The sequence below is a fragment of the Homo sapiens genome, chromosome 4 (genome assembly GCF_000001405.40).
Source record: "Homo sapiens chromosome 4, GRCh38.p14 Primary Assembly".
Taxonomy (NCBI): Eukaryota; Metazoa; Chordata; class Mammalia; order Primates; family Hominidae; genus Homo; species Homo sapiens.
The window spans coordinates 47,526,772-47,553,850 of record NC_000004.12 but is presented as its reverse complement, the minus strand read 5'-3'; the positions used below and the strand labels follow the sequence as shown (position 1 = coordinate 47,553,850).

At 37.5% G+C, this 27,079-nt stretch overlaps 1 protein-coding gene across 1 annotated transcript in view; it reads right to left on the bottom strand.

The window, feature by feature from the left end:
• The window catches only part of ATP10D (ATPase phospholipid transporting 10D (putative)), a 108,212-nt gene that overhangs the window by 39,636 nt on the left and 41,497 nt on the right, over positions 1-27,079 (bottom strand). Inside the window, exons 6-10 of the mRNA NM_020453.4 lie at positions 18,236-18,342; positions 17,818-17,949; positions 17,287-17,414; positions 16,913-17,165; positions 6,989-7,227 (exon numbers count right to left, since the gene is read on the bottom strand). Of these exons, the coding sequence (NP_065186.3) occupies positions 6,989-7,227; positions 16,913-17,165; positions 17,287-17,414; positions 17,818-17,949; positions 18,236-18,342 (859 nt within the window). The remainder of the gene's footprint in view (positions 1-6,988; positions 7,228-16,912; positions 17,166-17,286; positions 17,415-17,817; positions 17,950-18,235; positions 18,343-27,079) is intronic.

Genomic DNA, 27,079 nt, shown 5'->3' with positions numbered 1-27,079 from the left:
AGGAGAGGAGATTTAGAGAAAAGAGTAAAATATAAGGATGTATGACATGGACTCAGAAGATTATGGTTTGCACTTATGCTTAAAAGTTTGGTGAGAGTTAGCATAGGTTTAATAAGAAGAGAGCATGGGATGGAAACCATATGGGTTTAGGTTCAGGTCTTAGCTCCACTGCATACTAACTGGAGGTCTTGGGCAGCTTACTTAACCTCCTTTTCCTCTTCTACCTAATGGTAAAAATAACACTTACCTCCCAGGTGGCTGTATAAAGTAAATGAGATAATGACTAAGATGAGACCAGTAGAACAGGAACCTAAGTCATTTAATGTTCCTTTTCCTTCTTTCTTTCTCAAATGACACACTCACCTTCAGACAGGTTAGCAGTCTCACCTGGCTTCCAGACTCACCAAGTTACCTGCTGTCAAAAAGCATTGCTAAGTTTCTATCTAAATTCATTAATTCTACTGGCTTGTGCTATTTGACTTAGCAAAATTTGAATCTTGTTCAGTTTGATGGAGTTCATAGCCATTCATGAGCTGATGGCTGTTAATTAGTAAGTTGGTCACATTCTCTCATGAGTCTCACATATATAGTAGCTCTGAGCTGGCACTTGTGCTAGACCCTCAGTTACTCAGGGAACAACCCTGGCCTTAAGGACCTCCTTGCCAAAGTCAATAGAAGAAAGTGGTAAAGTTGGAGAGACTTTTTTATTTGGTCAATGAAGAGATGCCTGGGAAATTTGTTGCATGGTATTTTACCAAGGCCTATGATTATGCTCTTGTCTAGTGCTTATGAGATTCCACAGGTCAGGGCAATATTTCCAATGGCATCCTTCTCTGAATGTTAACATGGAATAAGCAAAAAATTAACAAAGAGTTCTATACTGAAATAAGTTTAAGAAAAGTTTAAACAAGTTTTTTAATTTCAGCATTTCTCAGAGAGTTTAATGGGTATTAGGAATCTCCAAGAAGAGGCTAGTATGTGCAGGCTTTCCAAATTCTATTTTTTAGAGACTTCTTTTATAGAAGACATTTGGGACTGAGTCAGAGACCATAGAAGCTAATAGTGATTTCATTGTATCAATGATCTCAGCAATTATTTGACTAATAATTGGTTCAGAACATAAGGATTATCTTGCATTCTGAAGTCAATCTAACATTGATGAAAGGTTTGCAACTTCTGCATTTGTGACAAATGCTATTTACTACGGTCTAAATGTTTGTGTCTCCCCAAAATTTGTATGCTGAAATCCTAACCTGCAAGGTGATGGTATTAGGAAGTAGGGCTCTTTGGGGATAATTAGGTTAAGAGGGCAGTGACTTCATGAATGGGATTAAAGTCCTTATAAAACAGGTCCAAGGGAGCTTGTCCACCATATGAAGACACAGTAAAGAAGGAACTGTTTTTATGAACCAGGAAGCAGGCCCTCACCAGACCCCAAATCTGCTGGCTCCTTGAACTTGGACTTTCCAGCCTCCAGATCTGTGAAAAATAAATTTCTGTTGTTTCTAAGCTACCCAGTTTATGGTATTTTGTTCTGGCAGCCTGAATGGACTAAGACACTATTTATGTAGTCAACGTAATATGCCATTCAGGGAATCCGATGGCTGCATGACTGAAAGGCTGTGCTGTGGCCACGAGAACAGAAGTAATACTGAAGTTGGCCCAAGCTGGAGGTGAGTGGGAACAGTGTGTGAAAGTGGGGTTGTGTGGCTTTGGTCAGCAAAACTGTGCTGAGAAGTATTGCCAAAATAAAGTGGGAAAAATCTAGAAAGTCAGGACCATAGAAGACCTTGAAAAGCACTATAAAACAACATACATAAAAGAGCCCAGAAGATTTAAGGAAAGGTCTACATACAAAGAAGCTTCAGGCATGCTCATTCTTCTACTTTAGTTTGTCCCACTAAAATAAGTTAATTTCTAGTGACTAAGAAGTTAGTCACTGAATTAAGGTGAAGATATAGAGTCACCACATGCAATTCTTATCTGCATGACTGTATCCATAGCTGTTTCTCCCAAGATCCAAATCTTCCTTATTGAGACCCAGGATTACATTATTAGCTTTTGCTCTCTTGTCAGTGATGGGTGGCTTCTGCCTTCTCTGGATGCCTGCTAACTTCAGAACCAGACTCAAACCATCTTGCTTTAAATAATTCCTTACATAGGTATGGAATCTCTCCCCAGAGAATCTGGAAGGCCCATTAAAGTAAGGACCATATCTTATTGATCTTTGGATCCCTAACTCAGTACTTGACACATGGGTAAGCAATAAAAGTGTATTGTCATATGTTACTATAATTTGCTAATCTCATATCCTATAAGGAAAGAGAGGGAGAAACAACCAGAGGAAAAAGATGTCACTCTTTGGAAAATAAACACATATTACCTCCCACTGGGCTCAAGTAGATATCTTTTTAAAATTCAAGAAAATTTTTACTTCACAAGAGAGCACAGATTACAGAGTATGATGTAGACAGCTTCCTATAATGTAAACAAAGCCTTATTTGGTTTCCTGGTGAGAGTCTAGTATCTTTGTCCCAATCTTGCATGGTATCTGCCTATCTCAAATTTTAGATTTACCCTCATAATTCCTATTATGCCTTCCTACTGAGAGACAGGACTAGCTGGATTTCCTAGGCCGACTAAGAATCCCTAAGCCTAGCTGGGAAGGTGACTGCTTCCACCTTTAAACACGGGGCTTGCAACTTTGCTCACACCCGACCAATCAGATAGTAAGGAGAGCTCACTAAAATGCTAATTAGGCAAAAAACAGGAGGTAAACAAATAGCCAATCATCTGTTGCCTGAGAGGACAGCGGGAGGGACAAGGATAGGGATATAAACCCAGGCATTGGAGCCGGCAACGGCTACCCTCTTTGGGTTCCCTCCCTTTGTATGGGAGCTCTATTTCACTCTATTAAATCTTGCAACTGCACTCTTCTGGTCCGTGTTTGTTATGGCTCGAGCTGAGCTTTCGCTCGCTGTCCACCACTGCTGCTTGCCACCATCGCAGACCCGCCGCTGACTTCCACCCCTGCGGATCTGGCAGGGTGTCTGCTGTGCTCCTGATCCAGTGAGGCACCCATTGCCACTTGCCATTGTTCCTGCATGGCTAAGTGCCTGGGTTCATCCTAATTGAGTTGAACACTAGTCAGGGGTTCCATGGTTCTCTTCCGTGACCCATGGCTTCTAATAGAGCTATAACACTCACGGCATGGCCCAAGATTCCATTCCTTGGAATCCGTGAGGCCAAGAACCCCAGGTCAGAGAACACGAGGCTTGCCACCATCTTGGAAGTGGCCCGCCACCATTTTGGAAGCCACACGCCACCATCTTGGGAGCTCTGGGAGCAAGGACCGCCCCCCCCAACCCCATGACATTACTAAGTTGTAGATTTCACATTCAGGTTTACTCCTTCCTTTTTTTTCTCTCTCTCCTCTATTTAAATTCAAATTAACAAGTAAAAACTGGCCAAAACTCCCTTTGCCCTCTAATAGTGTTGGTTGAATCTTTTGAACGGCTTTCATATAATTTAAATGTTAAATTTGTTTTAAATTTCATATAATTTAAATGTTAAATTTGTTTTAAAACAGAGAGAAGCAGCAGCCCACTATAATTGTTTATGCAAAACTTTAAAAACCCACGGTTTAGTAGTGGACAAAGACACTCTAGATGGGACATAAAGTTGACCAAGGAGCTCTAATACTGTTCTTCACTCCTCCCCTAGTTCCACCTCTACCCAAGGTTTTTCATTTCATTGCTGGATGCCACTCTACTCATTTTAAGCGTTCACCATTCCACCACTGCAACTTTGGCTTAAGAGTGGACGCAAATATCTTCTATTGCCACCACCCCCTCCCCACTGATTCCTAAACAACACAGTCCTGAAAAAAAAAAAAAAAAAGACAAAGGTGAATAACCACATGCTGACAATTCCTCCTGCACACCATGTTCTCCCTTGGCCCTGTGGTTCTGAACGTCTGCACGTACCACGTGCTGTCAGCTCCAAATGCCTTTCCTTCCTTTTCCAATCTGTGAACCTCTCTCTACTCATTAGTTTAATCCTAACTCAAGTTGTAGCTCTTCCGGGCAGCCTTTCTTGATCCTTCTTCACTCCCTTAGAGGTGATCATTCCCTTCTTTGTGACCTTACTATACTTTGGATTAACTACTATGACTACATCTTTAATACAGGTTTATAATTATTCATTTATATGTCTCTCTTCTCTATCTAGAACAAAACTGAAGGCTGAGGCCACGTCTTATTCACTTTATATCCCCATGTCCAGTATTGTGCCATGCCTTCCATTAATTCATTAATAAATTCATTATCCCATAAATATTTATTGCTAATCTATGGTGCCAGGCACCCCTGAAGGTAAGAGGAGTGCATAGAACAGACAGGATCCTGGCTTCCAGGGAACTCACATTCTACCTGGGGGAGACAATAGATCCAAAACTATCCCAACAGCAAATAAATAAGATGCCTTTATATTGAGACAGAGAGAGACAAGGGAGAGATGGAATGTACTTGGAACTGGGTGACAGAGAAAGCTTCACTGAGAAGGTATTTGAGCTGAGGCTCAATGACAGAAAGGAGACAGCTATACAAAGATCTAAGAGAAGAGCATTTCGTGTAGAATAAACAGTATGCTTGTTGAATGAAAAACTCCAGAAGATTAAAGATGCATAAACATACTGGCTTACAAAGCAGAGGTTTCTATTTCTAAAATAGGTACTATGAACCCAGGACTCATGGGCCTCAGTGACATTCTAATGCCCAAAGGCTGGTACATCTTCATCAGCACCCTGCCTAGCATCCTCACTTGCTGGCTCGTAACTCGCCTCCTTTGAAGGGTGCCATCTTACAACCTTCCACTTGTAGACATCACAACTCTCAGAATGCCCTCAAGCTGGCATTCTTAACCTGGGCTCCACAGATGGGCTTTTAGAATTTTATATGATATATTTGCAGATGCTCATTTTTCAGATCAAATATTATGTAGTTTTCTCAAAATAATCTTTAGTCTTCAAAAAGATAAAATCAACTTGTTTAGACCAAGATTGAGAAATAATCTTATACATTGAGGAAGACCATAACCTAGTTATTCTATATATTAGGGGTATGGTTTTGCAAAACACAAACAAAACAAGGACAACAGTAACAGCAGCACAAGAGCATCCACATAATCAGCAATGACATTGGAGTATAAGGCAAATGAAAAGAAAATGGCCCAGATGAAAAGACAGCCTGGTAAGTAGCTTCCTTCAACAACCTTTAAAAATACTTTATTGAGAATGGACATGCCAGCCTTTGTGCTAGATGTTGATTCAAGATGGATAAATCCTTCTCTCAGGGAGTTAATGGTGGATTGCCAGAGGCAGAAATAAGACCAATGCCATGTGGATGAAGGGACGGAGGGACGGAGGGACGGTGTAAACAGAGCTCGGATGCTGAAAGAAGAGAATCTGAGAGGTCTTCAGAAAAAGGTGATATTTTTAATTTAGTTCTTAAAGAAATAAATATTTCACCAGATTTGATGGATAGAGGTAGTATATGAAGAGAGAATATATTTTAGATGAGGTAAATTTATCTATAAAGGGACAAAGACTTTAAACTAAGAAATAACCAATCATTTGTTCCACGAATAGGGTGAGGTTTGATCAAGAAACCAATAAGGTGTGGCACAGATCCACCTTATTACCAAACTGTGCTGCTTCTGTCTAAACAAGAGCCAACATGTTCTTACTTTCAGGTGGATGGAAAATGAAAAGTTCAATACAAGGATAGATAAAAAGATAAAATAGAAGAAAATATATCGATAGAAAAATAGAAGAAAAATATATTTCCGATATGGGCTTATAATGAGTACACAGAATGAACTGTGTACATTCTTCTTCCATTTCAAAAGTTGGAGAAATATTAAGTCTTGGAATCACTTGACATATGGCTAAGATATAATATAATAGTTTTTATATTAGTGCCACAGAAATGAGCTGGACTAAAATGATCACTCCAGTTGCTGTAATTATGCATTTGTTGACAATTTGAGAAGAGCCAGGATCCTGGGAAGTTCGAGGCCTTCCCAGGACAAATGAGACCCCAGGGGTCTACTCATATCATGTCTCTACTGTGAAAACCATATGATAAATTCAATGTAGAAACATAAAGCTTCCCCAAAGCTGGTTTATTCTTGTTGTCACCTATTTTGTAGGTATTATCAGTCTGATGGCTGGGAAATCCTCATTTTGGTAAAACACAAGACTTAATAAAATGTAAAAGGCAAAGAAGGAAATTGAACTTTTATACAGGTAATTTTAAATACAGCAAAAATTTCTAATTTTTTTCACACAGCACCTTTCCCTCTTTTCCCCATCATCTACATGGTCCTCTAGTTTTTCTGGAGTAAAATGGATTTGTTAATGGATGTGACTAGACAGTTCCTGACACTTCCCACTGGAACTCATGAACACATTCTGTTGAGCTCTGAAATTGATATATTAGAAAATGACCTTCTGGAGCCAGGAATAGGGAAAAACCACAAGTTTGGTGGGATTTGGGAGATTACAGAGCAATAAAAAGGCCTTCAATGTACCACATGGCCTATGAATGTCCCTATAAATTACACTTGCTTATCTGACTACGAGATAACTCTGGTAAGCTTTGCTGGTTCTAAGAGTGAGCCATGATTCTTAAACCAAGGCAGCCTTCTTCAGGCTCACACATAATCAGCCCTGGCCAGAAATATTCTCCTTTTTTTTTTTCAGAAATGGTATACTACCTCTCAACATTGAGTTATTTTTTAAAAGTAGACTAGTGTGATATTGTTTGTTTATACTTCTAATTATGTGTGGTGATCTTGCTGAGCTGCAATCATGTAGTCTCTTCTAAGGTAGAAAAGACAACAGAGTTTGACTCTATCATAATTACAAGGCTGTTCTCTCATCATACATTGTGGATGTGCAAGACTCTAGTCATGCATTCATACTTACAATGGGGCTACTGAAAGCAGCCTGTCTGGAATGAGGCACTTCACTGGCTCCTTCTCCACTTCCTAGAGTAAAAGAGCTCCCAGCAAGATGATTTGAGGGCTTATTTCCCAAAGGCCCATTATGAACTGTCCTGCAGCTGGGGGCTCTCGGTTTTGCCATATTGCTGAGGGAACCACTGACTGTGTCTATAAAATCTTCATCTTCAGAGACAGCTTCCTGATAGGACTCCAACCTCCTGGCTGTGGGATAAAAAGCACACTGAGTCAATGTCTGAGAAGAGCCACTTGTAAGTTGAATATATCAGGCAGTTACTTAAGCAGCTATTTCACACCATCTCCTCCCCTTTCAAACCTGGCTGCCAAGGCCTACCTCCCATAGCCTTGGTCAATGAACTTACCTTATACCTCACTGAGAAGCAATCAGATCAAAATTCCCTTCTTTTTCCATCGTCAAATCTACCTACTTATCTGCATTGGTACTCATACTCTCGGCCTTTCCTCCTCCTACTGTGGACAAAGCATCTCTGTTTCAGACACCAAATTCTCCACTTGTCATCTGAATCTCACCTCCCTGAACTCAATGACTTCACCCTTACAATTCTTCCCTCTTTCACTGACACCAATCTTTCTTTAAGTAATTTCATGGCTTTCTGTCCCCATCTCTCCACTGACATTGCTGTTGTCAAGGTCACCAATGAGCTCCATGTTGTCAAATCCAATGATCACGTCCATCCTTATCTTATGTGAACCCTTAGTAATATCCAACAGACTTGACCATTTTTTCCTTCTTGAAATGTCTCTTTTGGTTTCTCTAACATCACACTTAACTGTTTTTCCTCCTACTTCAATGACTGTTTCTTCTTAGTTTCTCCTGCTGTCTCTTCTTTTTAGTCCTCAAATACTGGAGAGCTGCAGAAGCACCTTCCTTCTCTACCTGCATCTTCCTTGGTGATCTCAACTGGTCCCATCTTTGAAATGACCTCACTGGGAAGTGAAGACTTCCCAGATCTGACCACACAATTTATAATAGATCCTATGCCAAGACCTACCACCATCTACACATATATATCTTATTTATTTTATTTTTTGAATCATCCAGTAGAATACAATCTCCAAAAGGTCAGAGAATTCTGTCTGTTTTGCCAATATGATAATCTCAGACTTCAAAGCAGCAGTTGATAGGTACTATCTTTGTAAATCAAACTTAACGACTTACACAGTTACTTAAGCCAGAAATCTAGAATCCTCCTAATTTCCTATCTTCTTTCTTATTTTCAAAGTATAACTAACATCTGTCCTCCATACATCCAAAAAATATCTCAAATAACTCTACTTCTCTCCATATCCATTACCTTAGTCCAAGCCACCATCATCTCTCAACTGGACCAGTGCAATAGTCTCATAACTGGTCTCCTTGCCCCTCTGCAATCCATTTTTCAAATAGTAGCTAGAGTGATCTTCCTAAAAGATAAAGCAGATCAGATCACTTCCTGCATAAAACACTCCAGTAGCTTTACAATTCACTTAGAATAAAATCTGGACTCCCTATCCTGGCTTAAATAACTCAAGATGATCAGAGCCCTGCTGACCTATCTAACTTCACTTCTCTTTCTACATGCCCACTAAAATCCAGACTCACTGGCCTTCTTTCTTTACTTTGAAAAGTAACAAGCTCACCCTTGCCTGAGGGCTTCTTTACTAGATGTTCCTTCTGACTGGAAGCCTTTCCTACGGAATTTCAAGATTATGTCATTCAGATCTAAGCCCCATGTCCCACTTAGAGAGGCCTTGCCTGACCCTCCAGTTCAAAGTGGCCATCCAATCATTTTATATTATACCACCTTATTTTAATTTTCTACCAAGTACTTATCGCTAATTTTTTTCTTGATTTAAAAAAGTAATATATTTGTGAATATTTTCTCTAATAGAAACTCTATGAGAGCAGGGGCCTTATGTGAATTGTTCAGCATTGTATCCAGTGTCTGGAATATAGACCATCGATAAATAGGTGCTTGTTGGATTGCCAGTCTTCTCTATTTAGCTATAGGATAAAGTATGGCTTTGGGTAAGTTATTCTATGAAGTGAAGAATGTTTGCACATTCTATTTTTTTGTAATAGTTTTTGTCTGTATTCTTTAAGGACAAGGAGAGGCTAAGGGTCTATGTGGTGATCCTAGGTTCCAGTACCAACTTTTTCAAAGACTAAGTGGCTTTCAGCAAAATCACTTGCTGTTTCTGGGCCTTTGTTTTCAGAATGAAACATTTCAGAATGAACGATTTGGATTCGGTGACTTTAAGATCTTTCCCAGCTCTGCAAGTCTCATCATATAATCTGCCTAAACAACACGGAATGTTTCCCAGTATGACCTTCCAGCTTCAAAAACTGGTTTACATATTGTGTCCCAGAGATTCTGATCTCCTCCATTTTCATCTATGCCTTTGCTTGAAATATTCATTTGCGTCCTTTCTATTTACATAAATACTGAACATCTTTAGAAGTTTAGTTCAAATGCCAGCTCCTCCACAAAGACCTCTGTAGCTATACTGACTCTTACTCATACCACTCATTGGGAATTTATAGATTACATGTGCAGAATGTACCAGGCATTTGCTTATGTACCAGGCACTTGCCTCATTTAATCATTATATCTCAGCAGATGCTATTAATACCAGCATTTTACAAATAAATAAACTTAAGTAATTTGCCCCATCTCACAAAAATGGTACAAATTAGTCTTAAAATCAGTTCTATTAAACTCCACAGCCCCATGCTTTACTGTTTCTGAATCTACCTATATATGTTAACAGGGCCAATTTTTAACACATGGCCAATATCCCCTGCTTAATTTCAATGAGTCCATGTTTTTTCATTTAAATAAAAATTTATTAAATGAATAATAAATGAATGAATCAATAGACATGTCAATGAAATATCCCTAGTATTAAGGGAAAGTTGTGGGGTAGGAAGTTAATATTTTTTGAGATCCTCCTTTTTTCATGCATATATATATGTGTGTGTGTGTGTGTACATAATATATATGTATACCTATTTCCTTTTTATCTTCAAAATAATGCCATCAGGTAGAAACTATCACTGCCCACTCTGCAGCTGAGGAGATTAAGACCCAGAGAGATTAAGCAGTTCAACCATGATTAAACAGCTAGTTGTGGGTGGAGCTGGAAATTCGATTTAGGTCTTCTGCCTCCAAAGCCAGCACACTACCCACTATATTATAGCTCCTCAGCAGTGATTTGTATATAATAAGTTGGCTCAGTGGTTCTCCACATGGGGTGAATTTGTCCCCTGGGGGTTTGGCAATGGCTGTAGATACTTTTGCTTGTTATAACTGGGTGAAGTGTGCTGCTGGCATTCAGTGGGTGGAGGCCAAGGATACTTCTAAACATCTTACAATGCTCAGGACAGCCCCCAACAACAAAGATTAATCTAGCCCAAATAGTGCTGAGACTGATAAATCCTTGAGTAGCTCAAGGAATTTATTGATGACGTAACACCATTTAAAAAATATTTTAAAAATACAGAAGTTTCCCCTTTTTCACAGGGGATATGTTCCAAGACCCCCAGTGGATGTCTGAAACCACGGATAGTATTGAACCCTAAATATACTATGTTTATTCATATACATACATACCTATGATAAATGTTAACTTATAAATTAGGCATAGTAAAAGATTAACAACAATAACTAATAATAAAATAGAATAATTATAACAATATACTGTAGTAAAACTTATGTGAATGTGATCTCTCTTTTTCTCTCTCAAAATATCTTATTTTACTATACCAAAGGTAATTGAAACTGTGGAAAGTAAAACCACAGATAAGGGGGTAATACTGTACTTCAAAACACATATAAACATGGAGGCTATATTTAATGATCGTGTAACTCCTAGCCATCATTAGGGAAATCAGTCGTCATGCAACTATATAATTAGTATAGTTCCAGGTAGCTCAGCTATTACTGTAGGGAAAACTTGTTCAGTCAGTACAATTGCAAAAGTGGAATCAAGAAGATATGAAGTGACTCAACCTTTAATCATTTTGTGGAAGCTATGAAAAGGAAATAGGCCAGGCCCGGTGGCTCAGGCCTGCAATCCCAGCACTTTGGGAGGCCGAGGTGGGTGGATCACCTGAGGTCAGGAGTTTGAGACCAGCCTGGCCAACATGGCGAAACCCCATCTCTACTAAAAATACACAAAATTAGCTGGGTGTGGTGGCGGGCACCTGTAATCCCAGCTACTAGGGAGGCTGAGGCAGGAGAGCTGCTTAAACCCAAGGGGCAGGGGTTGCAGTGAGCCAAGATCGCACCACTTCACTGCAACCTGGCGAGACTAGACTCCTTCTCAAAAAAGGAAATAGACCAGTAAAGTTACAATGTGATTCAGAAAACAAAGCTACTGGAGCTATAATTCCAGGCTCAGTGAGAATTTTATAAAAATTAGGTGTGAAGCCAGGTGTGGTGGCTTACACCTGTAGTCCCAGCACTTTGGGAGGCCGAGGCTGGCAGATAGCTTGAGCCCAGGAGTTCGAGACCAGCCTGGGAAACATGGCGAAATCCTGCCTCTACAAAAAATACAAAAATTAGCCATGCGTGGTGGCATGTGCCCATAGTCCCAACTACTTGTGAGGCTAAGGTGGTAGGATCACTTGAGCCCAGAGGGTTGAGGCTGCAGTGAGCTGAGATCATGCCACTGCACTCCAGCCTGGGTAACAGAGTGAGACCCTGTGTTAAAAAAATATATTGTATGAGAAACAAAGGTTTATTATAATATTGATAAAACTTATCCAAATCGTTATGACTTTTAATATTTCTTAGTATTTCTTTAATATTTCTTAATACTTACCTTAAGGTAGACTCCAAAATAGTTACATGAATGCCTCAAAGCAGGGCAGGAATTCTTACTTTTTGCTTCATAAGAAAAAACTTACAAAGTCTATTCTTTCCTTTGTCTGAAGGTAGATATTGAGATAGGTACCAAATTGTCTACTTTATTTCTCTTCATTATTTAATCCCCGATCTGTCTTTTCTTCCCATTCCCCTCTTCAAATACCCAGTAATCTTCCTATAGCCTGTTACTTGCATCAATTTGATATATGGAAGAAGTGGGCATGAGTCTACAGAACAAAAAGTTTATCATACTTTCAATGTGCTCTCCAAAGGGCCCGAAACAAAGGTGAACAGCATTCAGATGAGCTTCCTTCAATTGTATCATCAATCCTCCATCAACCCTTTCACTATGAACTAAATCTGCAAACATTTCCAGCATTCCAACTTTTGCCTGCTTGTAAATAACACACTCAGCTAAACCTCCTCCAACTGTATCACCCATATATCCTTGATATATAAACCTTTGTTCTAAACAAATTCCCCATACAATTCCAGCATCGTAAGAACATCCAGTATCTTGGCTTCAACATCCCAAGCCTTAATCAGTGCAAAATCCACCTCCAATACTGACTGCCTGAAAATCAAAACAAAATGGAACAAGAACACTGACTTTATATCTTATGACAATGAACATGATAATTTATGTTTACATATCTGCCTCCCACATCGGACCATGAGCTCCTTAAGAGATAGGCCTATTTCTTATTTTAACAATATTTACAACAACAACAACAGTAACAACAGCTATATTTATAGAGAACTCATTTTGTGCCATTTGCTGTTCTAAATTCTTTATGTGAATTATCTTCTCTCATTCTCTTAACCATCCAATGAGATAGATAGTGTCATTGATCCTTTTTATTGAGGCACAGAGAAATTAGATAGTTGTTAAGGGCCACACAGCTTGTAGGTAGTGGAAATGGGATGCAGACTCAGGAGGCCTGATTCCAAAATCCTTGTTCTTGAAAAGTGTTCAATGCTACTGCCTCCATGTAAATCAGATTCACAAATTGTGCATCATAAATGTATACTCTGGACAAGCCCAAATTGATGGACATTCTACAAAATCCCAGAATAATGCCACTCAAAACTGCTAAGTTTATCAAAAGGAAAGAAAATCTGAGAAACTGTCACCTAGAGAAACCAAAATGATGGCTGTTATGCAGCATCCTAGCTAGGATCCTGGGACAGAGAAAGAACATTAGGTAAAAATGAAGGAAGTCCAAATAAAATATGGGTTTCAATTAATAATAATGTATCAGCATTTGTTCATTACTTATCTCAAATATATCATATGACTAATGCAAGATGATAACAGCAGGGGAAACGGCATGAGGGCATGCTGGAACCCTCCAGGATATTTTTGTAACTTTTCTGTAAATCTAAAATTATCCTAAATTTAAAAGTTTATTTTTAAGAAAGTCATTCTCTTTAAAGTCTTTTAAAGGAGTGGCTTGTTAAAATTTTAATATGCATATTAATCACCTGGGGATATTATTAAAATGCATTTAATTGAAGCTCTGAAGAGGGGTCTGAGTTTCTGCAATTTAAAAGCATGCCCGGGTGTTGCTGATGCTGCCAGTACATGGAACACATTTCGAAGCTAGAAGGTTTTAAAATATACAATGGTGTTGTCAGGTGTGTTTAGTGCAATTCCATGTGTGAGAGGTTGTTTCCAAGCAGCAATATTCTTCACCAAATTGTCTCCTAGGCAACACTTTTGCAGAAAACCCTAAAGGACTAGCCATTAAAACACAGATACACTGTTAAAATAGTTTTCACTTCAGTGAAAATATGCCTCAGAATTAATTTCTAGAGAGAACTGGTCTCCACTAGTTTGTGTGTGTGTGTATACACATGTGTTTAATTTTAAACCACTGCATAAAAAAGACCAGAAGCTCTAGGTGTGTCTATGGTAGAGAAGTGGTCAAAGGCAAAGTTAGTACCTCTAGAACTTTGGTTCCCAAACAGGTAGCTTATCAATTACAGTTCAGTCAGGATAGCATTTGATTCCCAGTCACTTGGTATCTTTTCTGTGTGAGGAGGCATAAACGAAAAATACTCACTTGGGCAGGGATATGTATGTTCAGTGACTAGAGTGGAGGAGGGCTAGTATTAGCTCTTTGAAATGTTATGAACACAAAATTTTGTGTTATAAATACAAAAAAATAAAGCAGTGCTTCTCACTGTATATTTTATGAAACATTGTTGCTGCAAGACAGTTCCTAAAAATGGGGATCTGTGGTCAAATAATTCAGGAAAACACTAACCTCACAAATGCACTATAGAGGTTTAGCGTAGCATTATTAATGTGGTTCCATTTTATGGAATAATGAATGATGAAGTCTTAAGAAAAATGGTTATAAAAGTAAAATCACACTGCGATGCCATTTCTGTTTTAAAGACAAAAACATAAATGTGTGTGCGTGCAAATGCATATCTTAAAAACAAAAACATATACATATGTGTTAAAAAAAAGACCCCAAAAGTGCATTAAAATGCTAACAGTGATCTATTCTGTTTGATGGGGGTTAGTGATGGCTTTTAAATTTTACTATAAGATGAAACATAATGCAGAGTGTCATCATATTCAATATGATTAGCTATATTTTACATTTGCATGGTGATTACATAATAAACACTTAACATTTTACCCCTTACACTCACAGGTTACCAAAGTTGACTTAAAAATACATGTACCTAGAAGAAAATATAGTATATTTTTTAACAATACCAGGTATGATGGGTTGTCTGAGCTCAACACTACCATCAGAAATCATAATATTCATAATAATTGACAAATTTATATAACAAAGATATAAACCTTTTGATAAGAAGAGACACTGGAAGCACAGTTTAGAGACTGTGGTAGGCAGAATTCTAAGATGGCCCTGAATAGTCCTGTCCCCCGTGGTAGATGCACCTTGTGACTATGCTATGATTAAATTATGCTGTGTGGCAGAAGTGGAAGGATTTTGCAGATGTAATTAATCAGCTGACTTCGAGTAATTTGAAAGAAGACTATCCTTGGTGGACATGATCTCATTAGGTTAGTCCTTTAAAAAGGATTCAGGACTTCCCTGATGTCAGAAAGATTCAAAATGAGAAATTCTGTTGCTGGCCTTGAAGAAGCAAACTGCTCTGCTGTTGTGAGGCTGTTTGGCAGGAAACAGCAAGCAACCTCTTGGAGCTGCGAATAGTTGGGGATGACAGCAGCAAGAATGCAAGGACCTCAGTCCTAAAACTTCAGTACACTGAATTCTGCGAAATACCAGTGAGCTAAGCATAGGATGAGGTCATCAATAAGATCACAGTCTCAGCAGACACCTCTATTTCAACCTGGTGGGAGACCCTGAGCAGAGGAGGCACTTATCCTATACCCAGAGTCCTGACTTAGAGATACTGTGAGACAGCATATTTGTGTTGGTTTAAGCCATTATGGTTTGTGGTGATTTGTTATGCAGTGATAGAAAACTAATAAGTGATAAATAATGAAACAGAAAAATATTTGTCACATATAGAAGAAAAGGATAATATAACATCAGGGTTGATATCCTAAGTATTTAAGAACTTGTTTTAAATGAGTGCACAAATGAACATCAGCGCTGGCCACAAACAATCTAGACTAAGCATACAAGCTGAACATTAACCCTGACCTTACATAAAAGCTCTCCCACAGACTAACAAGAACAAAGAAACCCCATTTAAAAAACAGGGAAATAATTCAATTAATTTACCAAGGAAATTCAGATGACTGAAAAACATATAAAAAGGTAAAAATCTCATCACTAAGCAGAGACAAATTAAGACAATGAAGTGCTAACTTGTCTGTAAAAATCACACAGATTAAAAAGTGTAACTTCATTACATTATGGCTGGGTGTGAAAAAGAAGCATTATTTTTCTGGGTTGTAGGAATGTAAATTAGCATGATATTTTAGAGGAAAATGTGTCTTATAAAAACAATTGAATAAATATATATGTACCAAGATGCATAATGAATGCTGAATTTTATTTATCATAATTTTAATCTTGTTTATCTATCTTCTTGTCATAAATCTAAATTACATGCAATCAGGGACTCATGCCACATATTGGGAGCTCACAAAATGTTTGGTGAATGAATAAGTGACGTTAACTACAAGTGCTTTTATATTAACAAACTAAGTGGCCACCATTAAGCATAGCAAACTAAGTTTGACCACATATAGTAGAAAACTATATTCTTAATTTTAAGTTATGAACTGACTTAGGAAAAATTTCATAAGACATTGTTGAATAAAATAAACAATTTACAAAAATAGTACTATTACATGTTCTAACTCATAAAAGGGAAAATGTGTAAATATATGTTCACATATAGAGAAATATGCATAAAGAAATAGCTGGTTACATATTCACCAAATTGTTAATGGTGGTTAACCTTGGGAGAGTAGGGCTTTTAATTTGTTTTGTTCACTTCAATGAATTATCTTCAAAGGAGCACATATTTCTTTTATAAACTGCAAAATTAATAAAGTTCAACTCTTTAAAGAATTTTGTAAACTTGGAATTTACAAATTTATTTCTTTAGAGTCAGAAGTTCAGCTCATTTTGCTTAAACTAGTTATTCTTAATCAAGCACCAATGGATACCTAGGGGCCAAACAATGAGGCTAGAAGGAGCCTGTAATGCCTTTGGAATTATTTCCAAAATATTTTTCAAAGAAATGGCCCATAGTTTCATCAGCTTTTCGAAAGTATTTATAGTACAGTATCATTGTCATCCCTCCAATTCCCACCCTTTACTTCCACTAGTAATTTACTTCACTTTTAAAGAAACCATGGCAGTAGACTCCTTGACTTTAACCTACTAGCTTTTGAAGGAACAACAATGAAGTTTAAAGGCCATCTGGAAGCATTAAGTACTCAATGATTAAATAAACCACTTCTATGTCAGAATTGTCAGACATCCAACACTTAAGTGGTTTCAAAAAAAGACCAATGCTAAGGTTGGTTTTCACGGAAATCCAACACTCACCATTTTCTTCATGGCAGTAATCAAATCCTGCCACACTACATCTTCGAAAAACCATCTTATTCTCAGTGAGGGTTCCTGTCTTATCGGAAAAGAGGTACTGAATCTGTCCCAGATCCTCGGCGATGTTCAGGGCTCGGCACTGAACAATAGAATCCATTTTTTCATTGTAGAAATCCACATCACTTTGAATGAAATATATTTGTCCAAGCTTCACAATTTCGATGGAAACATAGAGAGAAATAGGAATCAAGACCTAAGAAGATCCAAACAAGTTTTAAAATGTTAACGTAGGTTAAAAAAGGATGTGAAACTGAACATAGCTGGATAAGCAGCAAAGATGTTAAAATTCTACCATAAGCTTGATAAAAAATTACCTGTAACAAAATGATCATGGTCCAAAACATATAAAATCCTGCCAACAGTGGTGATATGATATGTCCATCAGGCTCGGGAACATTGAAAAAATGCATCTTTTCATACCTGCTCAGCCAGATTCCATGACCTTTCAAAAAATACACAGACATCAAAAGGATGCTAAATATATGGCATGCAAACAAAAAATTTTATTCCTAAAGGAGAAGGAATGAGAGTATTCATTTTGGTTGGACATCAACTGTTTGTTTTTGGAAACAAAATTCAAATTCAAAAGGCTATACATTCTCTCTCTCTCTCTCTCTTTCTTTAAGTCACTCTCCAGGTTTCTTCAGTACTATGGCAAAACGTAAATGGATAGAGTCAATATTAATATTTTTCAGGCTAAAGGATGAAAGAGACAAGGATATGAGGTAAAACACTACTGACAAAATCCACCTTACCAAAGTCAAATATTCACAGATATAATTTTGAAATAAAATACTTTAATATCTTGCTGAAAAGATGTCAGCAAATAATCAAATTTTACCTACCTACTGCGCCAGTTAAGCACATTATGACCAGAAGCATGACACACCAGAGGACATCTGTGTTTGCTCTTCTTTCTAATTTGCTGCGCTTATACCGTGGCCCACTGTTGTTCAGCATTGCTTTGGTTTCATGGCCTATGAAGGATGTGCAGTATGATAGAAAATGTACAAATTAAAGCCAAGAAGCGAATACCATATTTAAAAATCTCTCTTGCAGACAATTTAATAAAACACAGTTACATGATCTATTTTGTCAGTTCAATCTGCTTTTGTGATCCATTTAGAAAAACAGAGACCAATAATTAAGTTTATCAGGCAAAATTTCCTTTCTGCTTCAACAGATTGCATTTTTGAGTAAATGAAAAATGTTAACTTGTAGAAAAGCACAGAGTAGACAATGAAAATTAGAAACATAACCGACCTGCATAAACCACAATGCCCACAACAGCCTCTGTGTTTCTAATGGTGCATCCTCTAAGCAACAAATTTTCTTTACTGAGACCCACGCGTTCTTTGTTGGAATGTTCTCTATAAGAAAGACAGCATATAAATTCACTTTTAAACAGCAAAAGTGGGGATATAAAAATAAATCTCATGGCCCTTGAATGTTTTTGACTTGGAGTAAAAAGGCATTTCACAAGAAAGTTTTCAAATCTCTGGCCCATTTACTTTGGTTATTGCAGTTACTTGCTTTGTTTTTTGTTTCTTTTTTTTTTTTTAGACTTTTAGGTTCAGGTGGTACACGTGCAGGTTTACTATGTAGGTAAATTGTGTGTTGCAGGGCTTTGGTGTACAGATTTCTTTACCCAGGTGATAAGCATCATGCTTAAGAGGTGGTTTTTTGAACCTCATGCTCCTCTTACCATCCACCTTCAATTAGGCCCTGGTGTCTATTATTCTTATCTTTGTGTCTATATGTACTAAATGTTTAGCTCCCACTTATAAGTGAGAACATGTCATATTTGGTTTTCTTTTCCAGCATTAGTTCATTTAGGATAATGGCCTTCAGCTCCATCCACATTGCTACAAAGGACATGATCTCATTCCTTTTTATGGCTGCATAGTATTCCATGGTGTGTACATAAGTCACATTTTCTTTATCCATTCTACCGCTGATGGGGATTTGGGTTGATTCTGTGTCTTTGCTATTGTGAATCAGTTACTACTTTGTCTAGGAAAAGATGCAACAAGTTTCCAACTATCATTATTTTCAATGGTAGTCATTGTTTGACAACTTCTATTACTATAAAAAAATATTCCAAGCAAGAATCCTGCTTTTCTAGTATAAACTGTATTTAGGATAACTTAGTAATTGATGAGGGAAGAAATCCTGATAGAATTTAAAAATTATCATTTTCGACTTGGATGAAATCAAGAATCATTCTAGGCAATGATAAGCGATGGCTGCTAAAATCAATGGTTAAAAAGGCTGATGGGAACTTTATAATAATAGGATAAGGCTGATAACACTAATCTTACAATGGGACAAGGAGACATCGTGGGCCTCATGATTTATGGGAAAGAAAGTCATGGCCCTACAGGCGCTTAATCAAACCTCTATTAGGCATTTCAGTCTGGGGTCTGTGGCTTCAGAGGATCTGTGAAGCCTTTGAAATTGTATGCAATATTTTGTGTGTGTATGTATGTATCTGTGTATACATGTTTGCTATTTTCCAGGGAGAGACTCTGTTTGTTTCATCAGATTCTTTAAATGTCCCTTGATGGTTTACAGAGAATAAGATGGCCAGAGAAACATGTTAAACATCACCACAAGAATGCAGTTGGCCAGTTCTAAAACGTGGTAAATTCTGCAGGCAAAATGACCTGGTTTATTCAGAAAATGAACGATGGAGGGGAAGCCCAACCCAAGGAGGGGGAAGTCACCTCAATCTAGAATGTGATCAATTCTGTAAGCTCAATGACTCAATTTATTGGGAGAGGAAATGTAGAGACATACCAACCAGATGCAAAGTGTAGACCTTGTTTTGATCCTGGTTAGAATAAGACAACTATTAGAAAACATTTTTCAGACAATTGTAGATATTTGAACAAAAGCTTGGTATTACATGATATTATGGAATGGTTAAGTTTTGTCAGGTGTGATAATGGTATTGTGGTTGTGACTCATTTAAGTCCTTATCTGCTATAAGTATATAGTAAAGTATTTACAGTGAAATTACACAGTGGAGGGGTAGGAAAGGAAGTGGAAGTGGAAACAAAGATGGAAAAACTGAAATAGCTCAGGCTGAGTGACGCCACATGGGTGTTCGTTATACTTTTCTTTCTACTTTTTTGTGTTTGAAAATTTCTGTAATAAATAATTTAAAAATTATTGAAGTAATTACTTGACTAAATTGCTACAGTGGCAAAAATACAGAGCAACAGTAATGGTTTTCACATATTTTGAAACTGTCCTTTTAATTTCAGTATGAAAATTAGGTTGTTTTCTAGCAATAAACTTCAATTTACAAGTCACTGCTTGTTCCTTACATATATAAAAGTTGTTAATATAACCTTGCTATATGAAATTACAATTAAAATAAAATAAAAATTATTCAAATAAGGTTTCATACTACAAAGAAAGAGAAAGACAGATTTATCATTTCACTCCCATACATTGTAAAGCACTTTCTTCTAACAGATATATGTTTATATTCCTGCACATGCACAGGCCTGTGTACGAAGAGATGGTAAAAGCCAGATGCATCCTTGAGTTTAAGCTAATTCAGCTTTTTCGTTTTACAGATGAGGAAATGAAGTCTCAACATTCACATTTGCATATTAGCATTCCCAAGTAAGCACCAGCCAGTCCTCAGCAATGTGGCATTTTTTTTTTCTTATCCCTAGAGTCCTTATAGGAAAGAATTTAACACATGAAATCATCAATTCCAAAGTTCCTCAGAAAGTATTAAGATTTTTTCCCCTGAAATCCTTATTTTTCACCATTAAATCACTTTGAGGTACCACCATTAGACAAAGTTCAGCTTCTATATTAATTGCACTTACTGCAAATTCCAAAAATGTCCTGTATTTTACCTGTGTCTGATAATTGGCACTTACGGTATGGTACCTTCAGAGTTTTGTATGAGGCACTGGCTGTCACATACAGCTTCCATGAAACATCTATCTACTATGTGCCCAGCGCTCCAACCCAGATGCTAGAAATAGAAAAACAAACATGCAGTCTGGACTCCCGTGGTCTAAGAGGAGGTAATACAGGTAGAAACATGTAAGAGTAGTAAAAATATGATAGTATGATACGAATCTGATATTCAGCATACAGTGTAGTCACAAATAGGGAGGATGTCAGTTCTACCTTAGAGCATGAAGATCAAAGAAGGTGTCATATAGACAGGTAGCTTAAGCATCTCAATTTGTGCTTAATTTTTGAAAACAGGCCACAAAGCAGGAAAAGAATAAGGAGCCAGTTTAGTGTATTAAAATAATTCCACAGAAAATCACTGTATCTACCTAGGCTGATTCTCTTATTAAATGCTTCCCTGCCAATGGCTGAGGCCAGCTCTCAGGATGGACATGAATAGAGTAGACAAAAGCCCCTCCAATCACTAGTGAAGGCAGAATCTGAGGATTCCAGAAGGGAGGCCACTTTGGCAGTCAGGTCATGATAGTCAGAAAATAAAGCAGCAAATTTCAAAGCAAACGGATATCAGAGGAGCCATCACAAGTGGGAATCAAAGGGCAGGGAAACATGTTGCCCAGAAACCTAGGGAAAAGTGACAATTTGGATAGGCAGAAAGCTAATAGGGCCTTGGAACTAGGTAAGTGCTCTGAACAAGACTCAGTGCCCAGCACAGCAAATGATGCTCGAATGTGTCTATTAAGAAGAACCATATCCAAAGGGTGAAAAGAGAGGCTGACAAAAGTAGGCCATGGCTCCACTCCCAGAAATTTTGAACTACTTGTCAAGATGATACAGGAGCAAACAGTTCTGAGGTAGCAAGAGCCGGAGTCTCAGACACTAGACAAACTATCAGAATTGGGACACAGGATCAGAATTTCTGTGGCAACAGTGTTCTCATACAGTTTTTTAAAAATCTAACTACATGCACTGGGCCAGATTCTTTGCAGAGTGCTATATGCTCCAGACCACAGAGTGTAGACTAGAGTTCCTTCCTGTTCTCTCCACCGCATAAACCAAATACATCCTGCTAGGGGCAAGTCTGAGCTCATCAGGGAGTCAGCGTGCCCAGCTGTGGGAAGAGGACAGCTGAATAGGCTGCACCCTAAGACAGATCTGACCTCAGGTGAAAAAATGGCAGCCCCTGATTCTGACATTTACAAGAGGAAACTTTATTCACAGTCAGCAGCTAGAGGAAATGATCCTTGAAAAGGACTCATCCTAAGAGATGGCTTATGAGAATGTTTCTGATGAGAGAGGGGCAGCTGCCTAACTTCTTTTCATGAAGACCATCTAAAATTTCCATGGAAGGACTTTTCTAATACTAACCCCAATAACTTCAGGATAAATGTTTCTTTTTAACAAAATACACAAGGCCCTTCAGGCTCTGGCCTCTTCATGATCTGCCTTATTGCTCACCTACATTCCAGACATACTTAGCCACATAGAACAATACAAATACACTGTAGTCTTGGGCCTCTGTGCTCTTGCCTATGTTGCTCCCTCAGCCTGAAATGCCAGCCATTCTTTTCACTTTATTGTTTGCCTAGCATCTTCTCATTCTTGAAGATTTAATTCCAGCATTATCTCCTGATTAAGACTAAGCCTTTCCCTCTTTCCACTGCATGGTTCCCTCCCTGTCCCTACCCTATCAGATGTCTGTATCCAGTGCTACTTACAGATGCTATGGAATCCTGAACAGACCAATAACAAGAAATGAAATTGAATCATTAATAAAAGACCTACCAACAACAAAAAGCCCAGGGCCAGATGGATTTATAGTCAAATTTTCTCATCAGTGCAAAAAAAAATAGCTGATACCCATCTTACGGAAACTATTCCAACAAGTCAGAGGAGTCAGATTAGGGGCTCCCTAACTCATTCCATGAAGCCAGCATCACCATGATACCCAAATCTGGCAAGGACACAACAACAACAAAAAAGAAAGCTTCAGGCTAATATCCCTGATGAATACAGATGCAAAAATCTTCAATAAAATATTAGCAAACCAAAGCCAATAGCACATCAAAAAGATAATCCATCATGATCACATGGTTTTATTCCAGAGACAGAAGGATAGTTTAACATATACAAATCAATAAATGTGATTCACCACATAGACAGAATTAAAAACTAAAACTAGGCTGGGCGCAGTGGCTCATGCCTGTAATACCAGCACTTTGGGAGGCCAAGGCAGGCAGATCACCTGAGGCCAGGAGTTAGAGACCAGACTGGTCAACATGGCAAAACCTCATCTCTACTAAAAATACAAAAATTACCCAGGCATGGTGGCACGTGTCTATAATCCCAGCTACTCAGGAGGCTGAGGCACAACAGTTGCTTGAACCAGGAGGTGGAGGTTGCAGTGAACTGAGATCGCACCACTCTGCTCTAGCCTGGGAAATAGAGTGAGACTGTCTCGAAAAACAAACAAACAAACAAACAAACAAAAAGAACAACAACAGCAACAACAACAAAAACCCACATAATCATTTCAATAGATGTAGAAAAAACACTCGATAAAAACCAATATCCTTTCATGATAAAAATCCTCAACAAACTAGGTGTCAAAGGAACAAACCTCAAAATAACAAGAATCATGTATGACAAATTCACAGCCAATATCATAAAAAAAGGGGGAAAGTTGAAAGCATTCCCCCTAATAACCGTTGTTCCGGTTCGACAAGAGGCCTACTCTCACCACTTTTGTTCAACATAGTACTTGGAGTCCCAACCAGAGCAATCAGGCAAGAGGAAAAAAAATAAAAGGCATTCAAATTGGAAAATAGGAAGTCAAATTATCTTTGTTTACTGATGACATGTTCTTATACCTAGAAAACCCTAAAGAGTCCTCCAAAAGACTCCTATACTTGATAAGCAACTTTGGTAAAGTTTCAAAACACAAAATCAATGCACAAAATCAGTAGCATTTCTATATACCAATAACATTCTAACTGAGAACCAAATAAAGAACTCAATCTCATTTACAGTAGCCACACACACACAAAATAAAATACTTAGAAATACGTTTAACCAAGGAGGTGAAAGATCTCTACAAGGAGAAGTACAAAACACTGATTAAAGAAGCTGTAGATGACACAAATAAATGAAAAAAGATCCCATGCTCATGGATTGGAAGAATCAATATTGTTAAAAATGTCCACACTGCCCAAAGAAATCTACAGATTCAACGTAATTCCTATAAAATATCAACGTCATTTTTCACAGAATTAGAAAAAAGAATTCTAAAATCATAAGGAACCAAAAAAAAGTCACAATAGCCAAAACAATCCAGAACAACAACAAAAAAAGCTGGAGGTACCACATGACCTGACTTCAAACTATACTACAAGGCTACAGTAACCAAAACAGCATGGTACTGCTACAAAAACATAGACACATAGATCAGTGGAAAAGAATAGAGCACCCAGAATTGAAGCCACATGTCTACAACCAACTGATATTTGACAAAGTTGACAAAAATAAGCAATGGGGAAAGGACACCCTACTCAATAAATGGCGCTGGGAAAATTGGCTAGGCATATGTAGAAGAATAAACTAAATCCCTACCTCTCACCATCTACAAAAATTAACTCAAGATGGATTAAAGACTCAAATGTAAGACCTGAAACTATGAAAATCTTAGAAGAAAACCCAGAAAAAACTCTTCTGGACATTGGCCTAACCAAAGAATTTATGATTAAGACTTCGAAAGCAAATGCAACAAAACAAAAATAGACAAATCATATTTAATTGAAATAAATGGCTTCTACATAGCAAAAGAAACAATCAAGAGAGTAAACAGACAATGTACAGAATGGGAGGAAATATTTGCAAACTATGTATCTAACAAAGAACCAATATCCAGAATCTACAAGGAACTCAAACAAATCAACAACTACAAAACAGTAGACAAAAGACATCAACAGACATTTCTCAAACGAAGACATACAAGAGGCCAACAAGCATAAGAAAAAATGGTCAGCATCACGAGTCATCAGAGAAATGCCAATTAAAACCACAATGAGATACCATCTCACACCAGTCAGAATGACTATTACTAAAAAGTAAAAAAATAACAGATGTTGGCAAGGATGCAGAGAAAAAGGAATGCTTATACACTGTTGGTGTGTATGTAAATTAGTATAACCCCTGTGGATAACAGTATGAAGACCTCTCAACGAACTAAAAATAGAACTACCATTTGTCCCAGCAATCCCACTACTGGGTATCTACCCAAAGGAAAAGAAAATGTTATATTAAGAACACACCCACACTTATGTGTTTCTTATCATGCTATTCACAACAGTGAAGTAATGAAATCAACCTAAGTGTCCATCAATGGATGATTAAAGACAATGTGGTGTGTATATATATATATATACACACACACACACACACACACACACACACACACACACACACACACACACACACACCATGGACTACTATTCAGCTATAAAAAACAATGAAATCATGACTTTTGCAGCAACATGGATGGAGCTTGAGACCATTGTCCTAAGTGAACTAACTCAAAACGAGAAAATCAATACTGCATGTTCTCACTCATAAGTGAGAGCTAAAGAATGGGTATACATGGACACATGGAGGGAAATAATAGACACTGGGGACTCCAAAAGAAAGGAGGGTGGGAGGGGCATGAGGGTTGAAAAATTACCTATTAGAAACAACGTTCACCATTCGGGAGATGGGTACACTAGGCACCCAAACCTCACCATTGCACAACATATCCATGTAATAAATCTGCACAAAGACCATTGAACCTATAAAAATAAAATTAAAAGATGCTACTATTATATTCTACATTTCCTTCCATCGCACTGTTACTTTTCCTAGAATTTTAACAAACTTCATTGAGTTGTTTATCCATTTATCTGTTGATGAACATTTGGGTTTCTGCCAGTTTTTGGCTATTACAAATAAAGCTGCTATGAGCATTGTATACAGGTCATAGAATGGACAAATATTTTCATTTTTCTTGGGTAATTGTCTAGGAGTGGGATGGCCATGTTATATAATGGGCATATGCTTAGCTTTTTCCAAAATTTCCAAATTGTTTTCCAAAGTGGTTGTACTATTTTACATTCCCACCAGTAGCATATGAGTGTTCAAGTTCCTCTACATCCTTGCCAACACTTGGTACACTTGATCTTTTTAATTGTAGCAGGTAAAGCTCTGTGGTTTAACCTGCATCTTTTCACAAAATTATTTGCCATTCATATGTCAAATACATCAGTTCAAAGTCTTTTGACCATTTTTAAAGTTGTATTGTTTGTTTTATTACTGGGTTTCGAGATTCCTTTATATATTATGAATATAAGTCCTATAGGAAATACATGGATTGCAAATATTTTCTTCCTGTCTGTGACTTGTCTTTTCATTGTAAAAACAGTATCATTGGAGGAGCAAAATTTTAAATTTTGATGAGTTCTTTTATTTTTCTTTAATGGATTGTGATTTTGGTGTTGTATCTAAGAAATCTTTGCATAATACAAAGTAAAAAGATTTCCACCATTTTTTTTCTGAAAGTTTTCATAACTGTAGATGTACATTTAAGTCTAGGATTCACTTTCAGTTAATTTTTGTAAATGGTGAGAGGTATGGATTGGAGTTCACGTTTGAAAATATAAATACCCCATTGTTGCAGTACTGTTTGTTGAAACGATAACCTTTCTCCATCTATGTGTCTTTGCACCTTTGTTAAAAACCAGTTGTCCATAAATGTGTCAGTCTATTTCTAGACTCTATAATCTCTTCCATTGATCTCCTGATCTATCTTTATGCCAAAATGACACTGGCCTGATTATTATACCTTTCTGATAAATCTTGCAATCATGTGGTTTTAGCCTTCTAGCTTTTTTCTTGTTTTTTCAAAATTGCTTTAGTTATTTCGCATCTCCACTTAAATTTTAAAATAAGATTGTCAATTTCTTAAAGACCTTGCTGAGATTTTGATTGGGATTTCACTGACTCTATAGATAAATCTGGGGGGAAACTGATTTCCAATTAAGTAGCTCTTCAATTTTGTTTCACTAGTGTTTAGTGGTCCAGTGTACAGGTAGCTCACATTTTTTGTCAGATTTATACTTAAGCATTCCATTTTTC